The sequence below is a fragment of the Homo sapiens genome, chromosome X, assembly GCF_000001405.40.
Source record: "Homo sapiens chromosome X, GRCh38.p14 Primary Assembly".
Lineage (NCBI taxonomy): Eukaryota > Metazoa > Chordata > Mammalia > Primates > Hominidae > Homo > Homo sapiens.
Window position 1 is genome coordinate 104,141,938 of NC_000023.11, and position 20,975 is coordinate 104,162,912.

Below are 20,975 nucleotides of genomic sequence, written 5' to 3' on the forward strand. Positions count from 1 at the left end.
TATTGATGTATATAAAATCTAAAATGTGGCCACATATGGAGACTTTAAAAGTGAACCAGCCTTCTCACTACTATGCTTGACTAGTCTTTTAAAAGAAAAAGGTTCAGGATCAGCCTGGGCAACATGGTTAAACCCTGTCTGTACAAAAAACACAAAAATTAGCTGGGCATGGTGGCAGTCTCCTGTAGTCCCAGCTATTTGGGAGGCTGAGGTGGGAGGATTGTTTGAGCCTGGGAGTTGAGGCTGCAGTGAGCCATGATCTCACTGTTGCACTCCAACTGTCAACACAGTGAGACCCTGTTTCAAAAAAAACTGAACCAGTTTCTGCCAGATTAAAAGAATGAAACTTCCATACATGTCATTGGAAATAACACTGTGTTTTCCTCTCACACAATGAGACAGAGATGAGCAAATGTCTTTTCAATCTCTGATAACTAAGTACTATTACCAAGGAAGATTGAACAGCTAAACGTCTTCACAGTTTCAACACTAACGCTAGCCACGTGTCATATGTTAAACACCTCAAATAAGATATACTGAGGCAAACATTCACATAACCAAAGCAAAGTAGAAATCGTTTTTTATAAACAACTCGAGATAATTGGCTGAAAATGATTAGTGAGAGTTCCTCAAAGGCTCGTCAGCATAGGCAACTACAATATTAAATCTTGTTACTCTGATTTCCGGCAAGATAGCCAAACAGGAAAAGCTCTGGTCTGCAGCTCCCAACAAGACCGAGGCAGAGGGCGGGTGATTTCTCGAGGTCAGGAGATGGAGACCATCCTGGCTAACATGGTGAAACCCTGTCTCTACTAAAACTACAAAAAAAAAAAATTAACTGGGCATGGTGGCAGGCGCCTGTAGTCCCAGCTACTCGGGAGGCTGAAGCAAGAGAATGGCGTCAACCTGGGAGGCGGAACTTACGGTGAGCCGAGATTGCACCACTGCACTCCAGCCTGGGCGACAGAGCGAGACTCCATCTCAAAAAAAAAAAAAAAAAAAAGAAGGCGGGTGATTTCTGCATTTCCAACTGAGGCAAACAGGGTCTGGAGTGGACCTCCAGTAAACTCCAACTGACTTGTTAGAATGAAAACTAACAAAGAAAGGAATTCCATCAACATCAACAGAAAGGACTCCCACACCAAAACCCCATCGGTAGGTCACGAACGTCAAAGACCAAAGGTAGATAAAACCACAAAGATGGGGAGAAACCAGCGCAGAAAGGCTGAAAATTCCAAAAACCAGAACGCCTCTTCTCCTTCAAAGGATCACAACTCCTCACCAGCAGGGAAGAAAACTGGACAGAGAATGAGTTTGACAAACTGACAGAAGTAGGCTTCAGAAGGTGGGTAATAACGAACTCCTCCAAGCTAAAGGAGCATGTTCTAACCCAATGCAAGGAAGCTAAGAACCTTGAAAAAAGGTTAGACGAATTGCTAACTAGAATACCCAGTGTAGAGAAGAATATAAATGACCTGATGGAGCTGAAAAACACAGTATGAGAACTTCGTGAAGCATACACAAGTTTCAATAGCCAAATAAATCAAGAGGAAGAAAGGATATCAGTGATTGAAGATCAACTTAATGAAATAAAGCAAGAAGACAAGATTAGAGAAAAAAGAGTGAAAAGAAAAGAACAAAGCCTCCAAGAAATATGGGACTATGTGAAAAGACCAAATCTACGTTTGATTGGTGTACCTGAAAGTGACGGGGAGAATGGAACGAAGTTGGAAAACACTCTGCAGGATATTATCCAGGAGAACTTCCCCAACCTAGCAAGGCAGGCCAACATTCAAATTCAGGAAATACAGAGAACACCACAGAGATATTCCTCAAGAAGAACCCTAAGACACATAATCATCACATTCACCAAGGTTGAAATGAAGGAAAAAATGTTAAGGGCAGCCAGAGAGAAAGGTCAGGTTACCCACAAAGGGAAGCCCATCAGACTAACAGCAAAACTCTTGCCAGAAACCCTGCAAGCCAGAAGAGAGTGGGGGCCAATATTCAACATTCTTAAAGACAAAAATTTTCAACCCAGAATTTCATATCCAGCCAAACTAAGCTTCATAAGTGAAGGAGAAATAAAAGCCTTTACAGACAAGCAAATGCTGAGAGATTTTGTCACCATCAGGCCTGCCTTACAAGAGCTCCTGAAGGAACCACTAAACATGGAAAGGAACAACCGGTACCAGCCACTGCAAAAACATGACAAATTGTAAGACCATCGACGCTATGAAGAAACTGCATCAACTAACGGGCAAAATAACCAGTTAGCATCATAATGACAGGATAAAATTCACATATAACAATATTAACCTTGAACGTAAATGGGCTACATGCTCAAATTAAAAGACAAGACTGGCAAATTGGATAAAGAGCCAAGACCCATCAGTGTACTGTATTCACGAGACCCATCTAATGTGCAAAGACACACATAGGCTCAAAATAAAGGGATGGAGGAAGATCTACCAAGCAAATGGAAAGCAAAAAAAAGCAGGGGTTGCAATCCTAGTCTCTGATAAAACAGATCTTAAGCAGTAGAGGTCCACTCCAGACCCGGTTTACCTGAGTTGGAAATGCAGAATCACTGGCCTTCTGCATCGATCTCGCTGGGAGCTGCAGACCAGAGCTGTTCCTATTCGGCCATCTTGCTGGAAATCAGAGTAACAAGATTTAATATTGTAGTTGCCTATGCTGACGAGCCTTTGGGGAAGTCTCACTAACTATTTTCAGCCAATTATCTTGAGTTGTTTATAAAAAGATCAAAAGAGACAAAGAAGGCCATTATATAATGGTAAAGGGATCAATGCAACAAGAAGAGCTAACTATCCTAAATATACATGCACCCAATACAGGAGCACCTAGATTCATAAAGCAAGTTCTTAGAGACCTACAAAGAGATTTAGACTCTGACACAATAATAGTGGGAGACTTTAACACCCCCTGTCAATATTAGATCAACGAGACAGAAAATTAACAAGGATATCCAGGACTTGAACTCAGCTCTGGACCAAGCAGGGCTAACAGACATCTACAGAACTCTCCACCCCAAATCAACAGAATATACATTCTTCTCAGCACTACATCACACATATTCTAAGATTGACCACATAGTTGGAAGTAAAACACTCCTCAGCAAATGTAAAAGAACAGAAATCACAACAAACTGTCTCTCAGACTACAGTGCAATCAAATCATAAGTCAGAATTAAGAAACTCACTCAAAACCACACAAATACATGGAAACTAAACAACCTGCTCCTGAATGACTACCAGGTAAATAACAAAATGAAGGCAGAAATAAAGATGTTCTTTGAAACCAATGAGAACAAAGACACAACGTATCAGAATCTCTGGGACACATTTAAAGCAGTGTGTAGAGGGAAATTTATAGCACTAAATGCCCACAAGAGAAAGCAGGAAGATTAAAATCAACACCCTAATATCACAATTAAAAGAACTAGAGAAGCAAGAACAAACAAATTCAAAAGCTAGCAGAAGACAAGAAATAACTAAGATCAGAGCAGAACTGAAGGAGATAGAGACATGAAAACCCCTTCAAAAAAATCAATGAACCCAGGAGCTGGTTTTTTGAAAAGATCAACAGAATACATAGACCACTAGCCAGACTAATAAAGAAGAAAAGAGAAGAATCAAATAGACGAAATAAAAAATGATAAAGGGGATATCACCACCGATCCCACAGAACTACAAACTACCATCAGAGAATACTATAAACACTTCTATGCAAATAAACTAGAAAATCTAGAAGAAATGGATGAATTCCTGCACACATACACCTTCCCAAGACCAAACCAGGAAGAAGTAGAATCTCTGAATAGACCAATAACAGGTTCTGAAATTGAGGCAGTAATTAATAGCCTACCAACCAAAATAAGTTCAGGACCAGACGGATTCACAGCCAAATTCTACCAGAGGTACAAAGAGGACCGGGTACCATTCCTTCTGAAACTATTCCAAACAACAGAAAAAGAGGGAATCCTGCCTAACTCATTTTATGAGGCCAGCATCATCCTGATACAAAAACCTGGCAGAGACACAACAAAAAGAGAATTTCAGACCAATATCCCTGATGAACATCAATGTGAAAATCCTCAATAAAATGCTGGCATACCGAATCCAGCAGCACATCAAAAAGCTTGTCCACTACAATCAAGTCGGCTTCATCCCTGGGATGCAAGGCTGGTTCACCATATGCAAATCAATAAACATAACCCATCACATGAACAGAAAAAACGACAAAAACCACGATTATCTCAATAGATGCAGAAAAGGCCTTTAACAAAATTCAACAGCCCTTCATGCTAAAACCTCTCAATAAACTAGGTATTGATGGAACATATCTCAAAATAATAAGAGCTATTTATGACAAACCCACAGCCAATATCACACTGACTGGGCAAAAACTGGAAGCATTCCCTTTGAAAACCAGCACAAGACAAGGATGCCCTCTCTCACCACTCCTATTCAACATAGTGTTGGAAGTTCTGGCCAGGGCAATTAGGCAGGAGAAGGAAATAAAGGGTATTCAGTTAGGAAAAGAGGAAGTCAAATTGTCCCTGTTTGCAGATGACATGATTGTATATCTAGAAAACCCCATCGTCTCAGCCCCAAATCTCCTTAAGCTGATAAGCAGCTTCAGCAAAGTCTCAGGATACAAAATCAATGTACAAAAATCACAAGCATTCTTATACACCAATAACAGACAGAGAGCCAAATCATGAGTGAACTCCCATTCACAATTGCTTCAAAGAGAATAAAATACCTAGGAATCCAACTTACAAGGGACGTGAAGGACCTCTTCAAGGAGAACTACAAACCACTGCTCAAGGAAATAAAAGAGGATACAAACAAATGGAAGAACATTCCATGCTCATGGGTAGGAAGAATCAATATCGTGAAAATGGCCATACAGCCCAAGGTAATTTATAGATTCAATGCCATCCCCATCAAGCTACCAATGACTTTCTTCACAGAATTGGAAAAAACTACTTCAAAGTTCATATGGAACCAAAAAAGAGCCTGCATTGCCAAGTCAATCCTAAGCCAAAAGAACAAAGCTGGAGGCATCACACTACCTCACTTCAAACTATACTACAAGGCTAAAGTAACCAAAACAGCATGGTACTGGTACCAAAACAGAGATATAGATCAATGGAACAGAACAGAGCCCTCAGAAATAACGCCGCATATCTACAACTATCTGATCTCTGGCAAACCTGAGAAAAACAAGCAATGGGGAAGGGATTCCCTATTTAATAAATGGTGCTGGGAAAACTGGCTAGCCATATGTAGAAAGCTGAAACTGGATCCCTTCCTTACACCTTATACAAAAATTAATTCAAGATGGATTAAAGACTTAAACGTTAGACCTAAAACCATAAAAACCCTAGAAAACCTAGGCATTACCATTCAGGACATAGGCATGGGCAAGAACTTCATGTCTAAAACACCAAAAACAATGGCAACAAAAGCCAAAATTGACAAATGGGATCTAATTTAACTAAAGAGCTTCTGCACAGCAAAAGAAACTACCATCAGAGTGAACAGGCAACCTACAAAACGGGAGAAAATTTTTGCAACCTACTCATCTGACAAAGGGCTAATATCCAGAATGTACAATGAACTCAAACAAATTTACAAGAAAAAAACAAACAACCCCATCAAAAAGTGGGCAAAGGACATGAACAGACACTTCTCAAAAGAAGACATTGATGCAGCCAAAAGACACATGAAAAACTGCTCACCATCACTGGCCATCAGAGAAATGCAAATCAAAACCACAATGAGATACTATCTCACACCAGTTAGAATAGCAATCATTAAAAAGTCAGGAAACAACAGGTGCTGGAGAGGATGTGGAGAAATAGGAACACTTTTACACTGTTGGTGGGACTGTAAACTAGTTCAACCATTGTGGAAGTCAGTGTGGCAATTCCTCAGGGATCTAGAACTAGAAATACCATTTGACCCAGCCATCTCATTACTGGGTATACACCCAAAGGACTATAAATCATGCTGCTATAAAGACACGTGCACACGTATGTTTATTGTGGCATTATTCACAATAGCAAAGACTTGGAACCAACCCAAATGTCCAACAATGATAGACTGGATTAAGAAAATGTGGCACATATACACCATGGAATACTATGCAGCCATAAAAAATGATGAGTTCATGTCCTTTGTAGGGACATGGATGAAATTGGAAATCATCATTCTCAGTAAACTATTGCAAGGACAAAAAATCAAACACCGCATGTTCTCACTCATAGGTGGGAATTGAACAATGAGAACACATGGACACAGGAAGGGGAACATCACACTCTGGGGACTGTTGTAGGGTGGGAGGAGGGGGGAGGGATAGCATTAGGAGATATACCTAATGCTAAATGACGAGTTAATGGGTGCAGCACACCAGCATGGCACATGTATACATATGTAACAAACCCGCACGTTGTGCACATGTACCCTGAAACTTAAAGTATAATAATAATAAAAAGAAAATGTGGCACATATACACCGTGGAATACTATGCAGCCATAAAAAAGGATGAGTTCATGTCCTTTGTAGAGACATGGATGAAGCTGGAAATCATCATTCTCAGCAAACTATCACAAGGACAAAAAACCAAACACTGCATGTTCTCACTCATAGGTGGGAACTGAACATTGAGAACACTTGGACACAGGAAGGGGAACATCACACACAGGGGCCTGTCATGGGGTAGGAGGACGGGGGAGGGATAGCATTAGGAGAAATACCTAATGTAAATGATGAGCTGATAGGTGCAGCAAACCAACATGTCACATGTATACCTATGTAACAAACCTGCACGTTGTGCACATGTACCCCAGTACTTAAAGTATAATAACAAAAAAGAAAAAAAAATCTTGTTACTCACTGAATAGTTGGCCACTGTTAATATTATTACTACTTTTTACTTACAAAAAACTCCACACACTTCTGTTAGTTTTAATCAAGATGTTCAGTTAAAAAATAAATAGTTCAAGATCTTATTTTAAAAGGAGGCACAATTATCTATAGATTTTTCATTTATCCACAGCAGTTTCATTTAGCATAATGGATAAATTATCTTCCCATTTTCCCCTCTACTGTCCACTTCTGTCCACTCTGAAGTCTCTGGGATCAAAAAGCCCCTCATCAGCAGCAAAGCAAAATGCTTTGTGTACCAGCCTGTTTCTTCTCTACCAACTATTTGCCTTCCTTGCTCCTTTTACTTCAATCCTTTTATGTTAACCAAACTCCCCACCTCTGTTTGAATTACTATTGCTTCGTAATAAACCAATCCAAATTTAGTGGCATTAAACAACCATTTTACTTTGTTCTAGGATTCTGTGGTTTAAGAATTGAGACATCATGGAGCAGAGATAGCTTGTTTCTACTTCATAATGTCTGGGGCCTCACCTGGGAAAACCAGAAGGCTGGGGGCCGTAATCCTTTAGGAGTTTTCATTTACAGGCTACTGGTAAATGTTGGCTATTAGCTGGAACCTCGGCTAGGGCTGTTGATCAGAGGACCTATAGGTGGCCTTACCATAGGCCTGGGCCTTCTAACAGTATGGCAGCCTCAGGGTAATCAGACTTTGTACATGGCAGCTCAGGGCTCTAAAGGTGAATGTCACTGCAGGTGAGCCAGAAGCTACACTGCCTCTCATAACCTAGCCTCAGAAGTCACAGTTTCACTGCCCCCTATTCTATTGGTTAATATAATCAAAGTTGGCCCAGATTCAAAGGAGAGGAGACATTTGACCCTACTTCTCAATGGAAGGGTGGCAAGGTCACATTACAGAAGAGAGTGTGGGATGACAGGTACTACGGTGGCCATCTCTGAAAAATACAATCTGCCACTTTCTCCCATGTACTTCTCCTGCTTAAGTATACTTTGATCTGATTTTTTAGGGAAAAACCACCTCAGGAGACTAATATTTTAACTGAGGCTCCTAAGCTCTGTTAGATAGTAACCAGAGGGCTGGGCACAGTGGCTCATTCCTGTAATCTCAATACTTTGGGAGTCCGAGGCGGGAGGATCACTTGAGGTCAGGAGTTCGAGACCAGCCTGGCCAAGATGGCAAAACTCCATCTTCATTAAAAATACAAAAATTAGCCAGGTGTAGTGGCACACACCTGTAGTCCCAGCTACTTGGGAGGCTGAGGCAGGAGGATCACTTGAACCCAGGAGGCGGAGGCTGCAGTGAGCTGAGATCGCACCACTGCACTCCAGTCTGGGTGACAGAGCAAGACTCTGTCTCAAAAAAGAAAAAAAAAAAAAAAAGAAGGTAACCAAATGCTTTCATCCACATCCAGCCCCAAGCTTTCCTGTTCAGCATATCTGACTATTTATCTGCTATAAATGGCCAGGAAATCTGGCCTCCAATAAGCTGCTGGACCCAGTGCTGATCACTCTGGAGGAAAAAAAGCAACCACTGACATGTGGCAACTGGCTTGGCACTCACAGCTGGGCCTTGGTGTTCTCCCGATGAACATAACAATTTCATAAACTGCCACTATCAGACAAGGCCAATATGTGACCACAGTGACCAATAAAAAAGCAAGACCACCTCATAACTGTATCTGAAGAAACAAAACATGAACTTTGACTAAGCCATAAAAATGACCAAACACTCTGCTATCCTTGCTAACAGTGACCGGTGCTACTTTACCAATTAGCCTCCTTCTGGATAAGAGTCATTAAGATACACAATCACAGAATTATTCCCATTTCCTAACAGAGTCCAATCCAGGGCAAAGCCTCACTTCTTTAAATCTTCCCCAAATTCACCTAACACAGATTCAAATCCCGTAATAAGTCCTTTCTGACACCCTCCAACAGAGAAGCACCACAGCGCCCATGGTGTGCGCTCTCCCTCCATGTAATGCACTGAGCAATCAACCCAACCTGTTCAACCACAGGTGTGTTCCTGGTGGTCTTGGGCTAGAGGGCAGTGACGACTCCTCTAAGGACCTCGCATAAGAAAACTCGTTCCTAGCAGAGGTCACTTCCCATCCCCTGAATTCTAGCTTTCAGTCAGACTTTCGATTTGGCTCTTTTACACTGCAGTTTTGGCAGACAATTATATAAATCCTTAGACTGCCAGAAGCTATTAAAATGCCCCTAAAGTTATATATATATATCTTAAATATATGTGTATATGAGATCTGGTCCCCCAGGTTTCCTCCTTATCACCTTATCAAGTGCAGAAAGGTTATTCCAATAACAATGGCAACAGCTGCCCTGTCCCCAGCACAGTCACAGGACCTAAAGGAAATCTGGCTTCACACACAGGGTGCTTAAGCCTCTGCTTTGGGAAAAGCAATAGGTAGGCATAGGACATCTCAGTTGCAGATCCCAGATTCACAATCCTATTTCTGCCACCTCCTCCTCCTCCTCCTAGTGTGTTCTTCATTTTTCTCCTAATCTTATTTTGCAAAGCAAAAACGTGACATTATCATTACCCTTTTCCTCCTCTCCTTTACAGTTCTCACTCACTTGATGCAAGGACTCTTACCCTCAGAAAAACCATTCCAAAGAAAAAACCGACCTCCATAACCTAGTAGTTCAGTGCCAGACCAGAATCCCCACCCCACTTCAGGTCAGAGACACATATTGATTTAAAGTTTAGTTTAAGGAATCAGCTGTAGCACACAGAAAATATGGACTGGGAACAATCCCATCTGAACTTGAATTCTGGAGTAATCGCGTTTGCTGCTTTGACACCCATAGCCCAAAATTCTCCTTCACAACCATCTGTCCACTCTCAGGGTCCCTGAGATACTGAATGTTCATGCAACAAAATTAAATCATTACTACTCAGGCATCATTTAGGAAATGGAGCTACAGAGTTCAAACTTACATAAGTTTGTTTTATCTCCTCACATTTCACGGAAAATAACACTACCTGTAAGACTAGGTGTGGATTTAGACAGATGAGGACTACTGTGGAGGTGCAGGGTAAGTGCACAAGCATTAAGTGAGAGGCTCACCAATCACGTGCAAAAGTTGATTAATTTTCAGGAGTCATATGTGGTTGTCTCGCTGACTCCTTTGGAATATGGACATGATAGAGAACAGATTTCTTTTCTGTTTTTTTTGTTTCGTGTTGTTTTTTATTATACTTTAAGTTTTAGGGTACATGTGCACAACGTGCAGGTTTGTTACATATGTATACATGTGCCATGTTGGTGTGCTGCACCCATTAACTCGTCATTTAGCATTAGGTATATCTCCTAATGCTATCCCTCCCCCCTCCCCCCACCCCATGACAGGCTCTGGTGTGTGATGTTCCCCTTCCTGTGTCCATATGTTCTCAATGTTCAATTCCCACCTGTGAGTGAGAACATGCGGTGTTTGGTTTTTTGTCCTTGCAATAGTTTGCTGAGAATGATGGTTTCCAGCTTCATCCATGTCCCTACAAAGGACATGAACTCATCATTTTTTATGGCTGCATAGTATTCCATGGTGTATATGTGCCACATTTTCTTGGTTCGCTCTTGCCGCCCAGGCTGGAGTACAATGGCGCGATCTCGGCTCACTGCAACCTCTGCCTCCCAGGTTCAAGCGATTCTCCTGCCTCAGCCTCCTGAGTACCTGGGATTACAGGCACCTGCCACCACGTCCAGCTAATTTTTGTATTTTTAGTAGAGACAGGGTTTCACCATGTTGACCAGGCTGGTCTTGAACTCCTGACCTCAGGTGATCCACCTGCCTCGGCCTCCTAAAGTGCTGGGATTACAGGCGTGAGCCACCGCGCCCAGCCTGAGAACAGATTTCTGAAACATCCAAGGCACTGGCCATTCTAGCACCTTGCTGGCCCCTACAAAGACTCACAATAGACTCAGGCCAGTTTGTATGGACTTTTTGGTTGTCTTTTTATGTGTGTCTGAGTGTTTGGTTTGGGGTTTCATTTATTTTGTTTTGTAACTGGCCTAGCGAGATTTGGGATGAAGCATTGACAAGAGTCTAGAATGATTAGTGAAATTTCTGAAAATGTGTCCTAGCCTTTTTCAGGGTCATGGGAGGGGGTTTGAACGGGAGGTATAACTGTGGACTGCCACCCTCCAGGAGTCTGTTTAGGGCCACCCCCTAAAGGAAGGCTTCAAATTAAGCTGTAACAAAATGAGATTTCTGATTCTGTGTTCTAGAGTAAATAAAATGATTTCAGTCACACCTTGCATAGCAACAGGAATATATTCTGAGAAATCCATCGTTAGGCAATTTCATTGTGAGAACATCATAGACTGTACTTACACAAACCTAGAGTGTGTGTATATATATATATATATTTTTTTTTTCTCATATGGAAAACAAAATGTTCCAGTACCAATAATGAACATCAATCATTACCGCAACTGATCTGCAATGCCAATATCAAGTGCTGTATATCAGGTTTCTATATATGCTCCATTATAATCTTCTGGGACTACCATAATATATGTGGTCCATCGTTGACCAAAATGCCACTATGCAGTGAATAACTGTATTTCTTCTAAAGGGAGAGTTTTATTGGTGGGGGTGGAACTACCTACCAATTCTGACTTCTTATACTAATCTTTGTCTGTCAATTAGCTTGTCACATTGTCTTTTTAATTTTTAACCTCAAACATAATTTATTACCAGAAATTAGGAACACTTCATTTTTCGTTGTTGATACAGTGGAGGTGTGAACTCCACTGTAAACAACTACTTGAATATATAAAAATCAGCAAGGGATTTGAATAGAAAACTGCTACTTTGTGTTTTTAAACAATTTATGGTATAAGTCACTGTGACAAGTACAATGGAGAAAAACAATTTGCTTTGTTTAGTTCAGGAAGATGACCTTTGCTCGACCATCCAAAACATACAAACAACAAAAACACATCCATTTTATTAAAGACTTAAATATATGACCTGAGACCATAACACTACAAGAAGAAAACCTAGGGAAGAAACTACAGGACACTGGTCTGGGCAATGAATTTTGGGGTTTGACCCCAAAAGCTCAAATAACAAAAGCAAAACTAGACAAATGGAATTACATCGAACTAAAATGTTTCCGCACAGCAAAGAAAACAATTAACAGAGGGGAGAGACAGCCTACAGATTGGGAGAAAATATTTGCAAGCCCTACTTCTAATAAGGTGTTAATGTCCAAAATATATAAGGGACTCAAATGACTAAGTAGCAAAAAGACAACCTGATTAACAAATGGACAAAGGACCCGAATAGACATTTCTCAAATGAAGACACACAAATGGCCAACAGGCATAAGAAAAAATGCTCAACATCACTAATCGCTAGGGACATGCAAATTAAAATCACAATGATATATTATCTCACACCTTCCAGAATGGCTATTATCAAAAAGGTGAAAGATAACAGGCCAGGATATGGAGAAAAGGCAACCCTATACATTGTTGGTGGGAATATAAATTAGTACAGCCATTATGGAAAACTGTATGGAGGTTCCTCAAAAAACTAAAAATAGAATTACTATATGATCCAGCAATCCCACTTCTGGGTATATATCCAAAGAATTTGAAATCAGTATGTCGAAGAGATATCTGTACTCTTATGTTCATTGCAGGATTTATCACAATAGCCAAGTTATGGGATCAACCTAAGTGTCCATCAGTGGATGAACAGATAAAGCAAATGTGCTATACATACACAATGAAATATTATTCAGTCTTCAAAAATCAGGAAAATCTGTCCATTGATGAGCCTGGAGAACATTATGCTAAGTGAAATAAGCCAGGCACAGAAAGACAAATACTTCATGTTCTCACTTGTATGTGGAATCTAAAACAATGGAACCCACAAACACAGAGAATAGAATGGTGGTGATATTTCAAAATTTCATATTCCAAAAGAGCTAAGAGTACATTTCAAATGTTAGCACCACAAAAAAACTATTAAATTCCATGTTGAGTCATTTTTGTGTAAAAAAAGATAAAATTTTAGGTGATGAATATGTTATTTACCTTGATTTAATCATTCTACATTGTATATATATAAAATACCACTTTGAACTCTATAAATGTATACAATTTGTAAATATACAATAAAATTATACAAATATAAAAATAAAAAGATTTTCTAAGCAGTGTCAAATAAGTCCATTTTATTTCATATCTACTGTGTCTGAATTCAGACATGCCTGACGTTTAGGAGTGTGCCTAGCCTTCCCTAGGGGAGATATTCTTTTTTTTTTTTTGAGACAGAGTCTCACTCTGTTGCCCAGGCTGGAGTGCAGTGGCGCAATCTTGGCTCACTGCAACCTCTGCCTCCCGGGTTCTAAGAGATTCCAGGAGATATTCTTTCCAATTTATTGTCAGCTCCGTTTAGACCTATAGTTCTCCAAGTATGGCCCCATGTCCAGGAGTATCAGCATCTCCTGGGAACTAGTTAGAAATGTAAATTCGGGGGTCCACTCCTGACCAACTGTAGGGGCAACTCTGTGGATGGGACCTAGCAATCTTGGTTTTAAGAAACGCTCCATCTGATTCTGATTCACAGGAAAGTTTGAGAGCCACTGACTTAGACTGCTATACTGTTGTTTCTCTGGTAAACAAAGAGGCTTCTTTTCTTGTTCAGAGAAATATTGCTTAGGATTTCTGGTGGGTGCACAATTCCCTGCTGTGAACCGAGTTTGCTGGAAAACCAAGTAACTAGCACCTCCATCGTAGTCCTACCCAGAGCTTGCAGGCTTTGCACTCACGTAAGACTGATTCTTCCAGAGGCGCCTGGAAGTCCCATTGTGATGGGCAAATGCTCTTACCAGAAATAAACTAGTTGTGGGGACCGGGCGCGGTGGCTCATGCCTGTAATACCAGCACTTTGGGAGGCCGAGGCAGGCGGATCACTTGAGGTCAGGAGTTCGAGGCCAACCTGGCCAACATGGTAAAACCCCGTCTCTACTAAAAATATAAAAATATAAAAATTAGCCGGGAGTGGTGGTGGGTGCCTCTAATCCCAGCAACCCGGGAGGCTGAGGCAGGAGAATCACTTGAACCCGGCAGACGGAGGTTGCAGTGAGCGGAGATCACGCCACTGCATTCCAGCCTGGGCGACAGAAGTAGAGAGACTCCTTATCAAAAAAAAAAAAAAGAAAGAAAGAAAGAAAAAAAAAAAGAAATACACTAATTTTGGGCCTTAAATGCTACTCAGTTCTCCAGTTCACCTCAACAGGGAGGGAAGGTGCTTGGAGGAAAATTGCACTTCGTTTTTGCCCTGCTTATTTTGTCTTCAAAATATATGTTAAATCACCGCATCAAAGAGCCGTCCCAGATCTCAACTCCCAGATGAGTTCGGTGGCACCCAATAGATTTTCATAACACAGGATCTATCTCTGTCTCCTTGTATTGTAATAGCCTGTCTCCAAATGCAGATAGCAACCGGCAGGCTGTAAATGTCGAGGAAAAAGCCTAATTCCTTTCCTCATCCGGAGCCTCTAGTGCAGTACCCAGCACAGAGCAGGTACTTGGTATTTTGGTAAGGGAAATCAATCAACGCATCAATAGCAGAATCTGAAACCAGGGACCTAGATCTTTCCAATAAAATCATCCTGCTGAGATGTGACTCAGATGTACTGGTGCCCAGCAGACAACACGTTTTCGCCCTGATTTTATCCTCCATTCATCCGTCCGCCCCCTCCCCCATAGACCCCGCCTGTCCCCAGCTAAAAATAATGAGGGGATTCACACATCTCAGTGTCAACACACACAACACAGTTGACACGCCCCTTAATCCTACAGCTACGCCATCAATTCTCGCCGCCGGGTCCGTCCGCTTGTCAGTTTCCCCTACTCCTCATCCCCTCGCAACTTCTGATCCCCTATCACTTCCGTTCCCGTTTGCCTGCTAGGCTGGAAGCAGGATGTGTCTACGCCCTCAGCCCATAAGAAGTGCTACAAACCTCCGCCTCGCTCGCTGTCATGGCGGCGACCGACGGCCCCTTTCCTGTGGCCTCAGAAAGCAGCGACAGTCGCAGTCACCGGACCTTCGCCCATCCGCCGCCCTCACTTAAGCGACGCACAACGGAGCTCCCACAATCCTCTTTGCTTCCGCTCTCTTTATTTCCGCCTCCCCCGCCCCCGCCTCGACATTAACCGTTTCGCGACTACGTCAGTTGGCCGGTCTGTTTGGGAGAGCCAGGCGACTAATCTGGTATAGAGACCGAAAAACACAGGTAAAAAGACCTAAAAGACTTAGTCATCTATTGGAACATTTCCCCAGTTTGTTTGTAAGTTGGCTTGCAAGCTTATCAGTCATTCTCAAACAGGAGCTTAACTTACTTAGGTGAACAGTTCATGATGACGCCTTTAAGCTGCTAGACCAACCCAAACTCCGAATTTGCAGTTTCTGACCTTTCACCTTGAACCTGTGCCCTTTCTACCCTCTATTCTCCATCTCCTTTTGGTTCTTGTCTGACTCTTTAGCTGCATATGTAAAGAGCACAGACTTTGAAACCTGAGCTCCCGCGTTCGAATCCCCACTGTACCACTATCTAAACATGGCATCTTGGGCAAGTGATTCAAGCATGCTATTCCTTGGCTTTTTCATCTGTAGAATTGGTATAATAATAGTACTTACCTCCAGAGTTGCAGTAAAAATATTAAAATTTCACATGTGAGGAGCACCTAGAACATTGCCTATCATGAAGTTAAGCAGTATATTGAAATATAAATTATAATGATTGAATTTGATCTCACCTAAGACCTCTGGCTAATAAATAATAAATGATAATAATCATTTCACCTGGGATAGAGGGGATTGCCCTGTTCTCTCCAGGCTGAGGCTGTAATACCTGATTCTAGGGACTGCTGATATGGAAATTACTACCACTCTGGCTGGAGTCAGAAGAGTATATTAAAGAGTCTCTTTGTACTGTCCTAAAATAAGCAAAATCCAACGTTTGCAGTTCTATGGACCACGCACTATGATAAGTGCTTTAAACCCATTTTGTTGTTATTGCTTCATCCTCACAATAGCCCTTTGCTGGTTCTTAAGTGTATTACCCTTTCCTGTCCTCTTTGTCTGCTTAAAGCAGCTAAGAAAACTCAGATTAGTCAGATTGCATATAAATCAATAACTTGCCCACGGTCACAGAGCTAATAACAAATAGAGCCAAGACTTAAACTCAGATACATTCAGATGTGTCTTGGTATTTCTCAAATATCACTGAGAAAAAGGCCACCATAAATTCTTTTCAAGTGCTCTCTCTCCCCCAACTCCCCACCCCAAGAATTGCCTGAATGCCCATACAGAAAGACTAGGTTCTCTTCAGAAGCAGAAGGGCAGAACCCACTAAGGCAAAGATCTCTCCCTTGAAGGCTGGCAGCCAAGGAGGTGACTATAGTAGGAATTGGCATAACCAGCTCACTCATTGCCCTCCACTGTGCCACACAGGCCCCATTACTTCCTATAGTACTGAAGACCACTGGGGATAAAGGTACAGGGCCTTCACCTCATCCCACCGTTCTGTAAAGCTTGGATATTAGCAAAGATCTTGCTTATTTTAGGACAGTACAATGAGACTCTTTAATATACTCATCTGACTCCACCCAGAGTGGTAGTAGTAATTTCCATATCAGCAGTCCCTAGAGTCAGGAATTACTGCCTCAGCCTGGAGAGAACAAACCAATCCCCTCTGTCCCAGGTTAAAACAAAACAGGAATTCCCTCTGTTCCTTCAGAATGTACGGTACCCAGGATGTTGTTATTCTTGCTCCACACCTACCCACTCTCACTTCCCAACTTATCATCAGGCAGTCCACAATGGTTTTTTCAGGGGAAGGATTGGTGATGGTGAAGGGACTGAAGGAGAAGGTAAATCACCAGGTTTGCTGAAGGTAAATGAAGCACTGCCTTGTCCCTACCTCTGTACCTCTTTTGTAGCTCCCTGACCTTCTTTCTCATTTGGCATTTCAGAACCCATCACTCCACACCTAGGAAACCCTCTTGGGTTTGAATTGCAGACAAATCATCTTGTCTTTTATTTTTTCCCCCAACACCCAACGATAGCACACATGTCTGGGCTTGGCCAAATTTAAAAACAAAAATAACAGAGGTAGCACGGAAAGACTTTTTACTTAATTTTCTCCATTATTTCTAGCTGTCAAACTATTAGAAAGTGTCAGTGTAAGGGGTAGAGCTGTGAGAAGTCGAGTTTCAGAGGCGAGGAAAGAGAAAAATCCTGATGCAAAGCAAAAGTGTTGGCAGAGGAAAGACGAGCCAACAAGAGTGTCTCTAGGGCCGGTAGAAATAAACAAATGGTGGAGATTGGTGAGTGGGTTTCATACACAAAGAAACCTTTCCCTTTTAGCTCCTTTCACCCTACACACCATATCCCCATTCCAGAGACTTCATCTGCCTTAAATTCTCCTAACCAACCCAGTTCTTTCCTTGCTGGGCATCTTGCCCTAATGGCAGAATTCACCACCAGCTGCTACTGCTAAGCAAACTGGGTAGTTGAGGGGAGAGGATGTTCGTAAACCCAATGTTAGAAAGGGAGATGTGTTCCTAGCATCCTTAGTCGTACTCATAGCATATTTTTAGAAGCAATGCTCTACGTACATAATTTAAGTGTTCAGGTTCTGCAGTGCTTTCTTCAGTATGTTTCAGTTATTTGTTTCTTCAGAGCTGTTCTGGGGTCCTAACATATATATGACAGTGTTTCTATACCATAGTGTTTTACACAGCTGGTGACCAGTTCAGGCCCCCTTTACAAGGCAGATAGATCCATCCCCCAGCTGCTGTGGGTATTAGCTGATGAATACAGCTGCTTCCTTCTCTGCAGAATTGCACTCTGCAGAAGAGGTTCATTGCCTGGGAGATTTCTGTTTAATAACCCCAACCCCTACACACACAACCCTGCAGCCAAAAGCAATGACTAACTGATGATGAGAGTACAAGGGTACCTTGCCTCAAGGTTGACCAATTCTGTGGTGTAAATCCTACTCCAGAGCTCCTCCTGGGATTAGGCTAGAGCTTGTTTCCAGCGAGCTTAGGTTTTTTCCTCCAGCCATATCCTGCTTCTCTCACTCCGCTGCTGCTGAGAGCACTCGCTCTAAATCACTGGCCCAAGAATCATGCCCCACCTTAGGCTCTGCTTCTAGGGAACCCTAATACTCATCATGCTCAGCTCATGTTTGTCAGAGGATCATGTAAAGAAGTCCCTCTGTAGGCCCTCTGTTGTAGGCAGAGCCATCGTACCCATCTCTGGGGAAGTCAGGAGTGAGTTAAGATGTAACTGGATAAGACCTCTTAAGTCAAACTTGAACATCTGTCCTAACTCAGATTAAAATGAGATCTGGCCTATTCCTGAAATCTACTGTCTTGGTGACACCAGCAGACTACATTCTATCAAATTAGAAATGAAGATATATCTGTTTGTGCTTCATTGTGGAAAAATTATGTTTTTATTAAAAAGAGTTATGTGGCATTTGTTAAAATTTTAGTTAAGTCACAATTATTTTGTGATAGACACTGCTATAATAGCATGAATCTTAAATTTATCAGCTGTTGGTTGCTATATGTTTGTTGAGTGTAAACTCTGTGTTGTCAAAGATGATCAAAGAATGAGCCCAAGGTTAGATACCTGATAAGCATGCTCCGATTAGTCTAGAAGTGTTAAAAGAAAAAGAAACAACAACAGACCGGATTACCAGCTTGCAAATAATAAAAACATATCCTAATTTAATAATTCTTCTATGATTCAGAAGACATATTGGATCATCTTTACAAACTTCAATCATAATATTGTAAAAATGTACAAGTACTAGTTAAGAGTAATGTTCAGATTGAAAAAAATGTTCAGGTTGAAAATGACCAGATTGTTGAAATATATATTTGCAAGGATGAAAATTTCAAAACATCTAGCATCTCCTCCAAAGTATATATCCTATTATTTACATAGTAAATAATGTATAGTCACTGATTCTAATCTCACTTGACTAAATCCATTCCTCTAGCTACAATAAAAGAACCAAGATAATAATTTTCTTTAGGATTACCTATTTCTGAATATATTTTAATACATTCCTTTTGCTATGACCTCTTGTAATTGGTTCCTTTTATTATTTTTATTTACATGTATTATATATCATAATTTATTTTAATTCCTTTTTTGCTGTTTAGCAAAATATATGATCATCTTCCTCTCCAAAAAAATCAGATTATGGAGGGTCTTTTAAGTGGTTACTTTTGGTAACTAAAACAAACATTTTCTTAAGAAAATATCATTAAACCAAAAATTCATACTGATCTGAGAAATGTTGGTTGTTTCTGAAAAGCCCTTTCTACATTAGTCAAATAAATTACAATATTTGTAAGTCTCATGGAGTATTTTAGTTGTGTACAAGATTTTCATTAAAGCATAGGAAAGAATATCATAGCTACTTGCTTAACACACATATACATCAAAGAGGAGATATGACTTTCCTAACTTATCTGTAACAATGGCTAAACAAAGGTTTGGTAAGAGCAATTGAAGAATGGTGAATTACCCCATTCATTAAAATTTTTAAAGTACTTAAACATTAGACTGGATAGAATTTTACGGGGGAACAATATATCTTATGTTCTTTTTAAAAAGAAGAAGAAAGAGGCTGGGCGTGGTGGCTCACCCCTGTACAATTTGGGAGGCCGAGGTGGGCGGATCACGAGGTTAGGAGTTTGAGACCAGTCTGAACAACATGGTGAAACCTCATTTCTACTAAAAATACAAAAATTAGCCGGGCGTGGTGGTTCATGCCTATAATCCCAGCTACTCAGGAGGCTGAGGCAGGAGAATCACTTGAACCTGGGAGGTGGAGGTTGCAGTGAGCCAAGATAGTGCCACTGCACTCCAGCCTGGGTAACAGAGCGTGACTCTGTCTAAAAACCAAAAAAAAAAGAAGAAGAAGAAAATTATATGAGGACAAATATAAAAATGTTATAATCGTCCCCTTGGTTGGTATTTCTCAAAAATTTTTTTGCCATCAACCCTTAAGGGTGTGAACAAAAGTTCTCTGAAAAGGAATTTGGAGGAAAGAGACTATATTCCACTGAACAGTATGCAAACAGGCTTAAAATGAAGGTGTGTTCCAGACAACAAAAGAGGGTTTAGGTTTAATTGCAAAAGTTCACACCCAGGTTCCCAATCACATCCATTTATGCAAATGAAGGATACAAACTTGCTTAGTTCTGATTGGTGGAAGCAGCTGAGCCCCAATTGGTTGATGTGGCTGAGCTCTGATTGGTTGATACAGCTGAGTTCTAAAAGTCCCAAAGTTAAAAAGGTGGAGGTTTTTTGGGAACTCAGAGTGGGTGTATGACCTCTAGTCAGCACATGGCTGTTTGGCTCTCTATTTTAAATTTAGGCCATTAGCATTTGCGGATTCATCTTGAAGGATTGGCTCTTTGAGGTTCACATTTGTTCACAAGGGTTTCTATGATTGTATATGATTGATATCACACCATTTATTATCAAAAACGTTTTCTAAGTCTATCTTTCAAAATTCACCAGTTTCACCACAGAAACGATCCATAATTTCAGGGTTACAATGTTTCATCTAAAATGTCCATCTTTTGTTGGCCTACTCTTCTAAAAGCCCAGGCCAAATGTCACTCACTGTAAAAACCTCACTAATCTTCTTTCTCCCAAGCCAAATTCATCCTTTCCTTAAATGTCCACTGATCTTTGACAAAGGAGCAAGGGCAATATAATGGAGGAAAGATAGTCTTTTCAATAAGTAATGTAGGAACGTCTGGACATCCACGTACAAAAAGAATGGATCTAATTCTTACATCTTTCACAGAACTTCCTGAAAGACCTACCACCTCTTCAATGGAAAGCATCAACAGTTTGCACCCTACAATTCTCTGAATTCCTCACCTCAAAATCCTCATCTTGCTGCTTTCACCAATCCTGGATTGTTGTAAAATGATGCTTGCCCAGTCTTAATCAAGA

General features: G+C 41.0%; 2 protein-coding genes across 2 annotated transcripts in view, besides 1 other annotated feature; one reads left to right on the forward strand and one right to left on the reverse strand.

Moving 5' to 3' along the window:
- Positions 1 to 15,072, reverse strand: part of SLC25A53 (solute carrier family 25 member 53) — a 57,796-nt gene extending 42,724 nt beyond the window's left edge. The window contains exon 1 of the mRNA NM_001012755.5: positions 14,941 to 15,072. The gene's annotated coding sequence lies outside the window, so the exon portion shown is untranslated. The remainder of the gene's footprint in view (positions 1 to 14,940) is intronic.
- Positions 14,846 to 15,145: an enhancer, noted in NCBI's record as "active region_29826". NCBI's record gives its function as "activates an Ori minimal core promoter by ATAC-STARR-seq in GM12878 lymphoblastoid cells {active_cell/tissue: GM12878}" and the evidence as "EXISTENCE:reporter gene assay evidence [ECO:0000049][PMID:35858748]".
- The window catches only part of FAM199X (family with sequence similarity 199, X-linked), a 38,837-nt gene continuing 32,990 nt past the window's right edge, over positions 15,129 to 20,975 (forward strand). The window contains exon 1 of the mRNA XM_047441826.1: positions 15,129 to 15,213. The gene's annotated coding sequence lies outside the window, so the exon portion shown is untranslated. The remainder of the gene's footprint in view (positions 15,214 to 20,975) is intronic.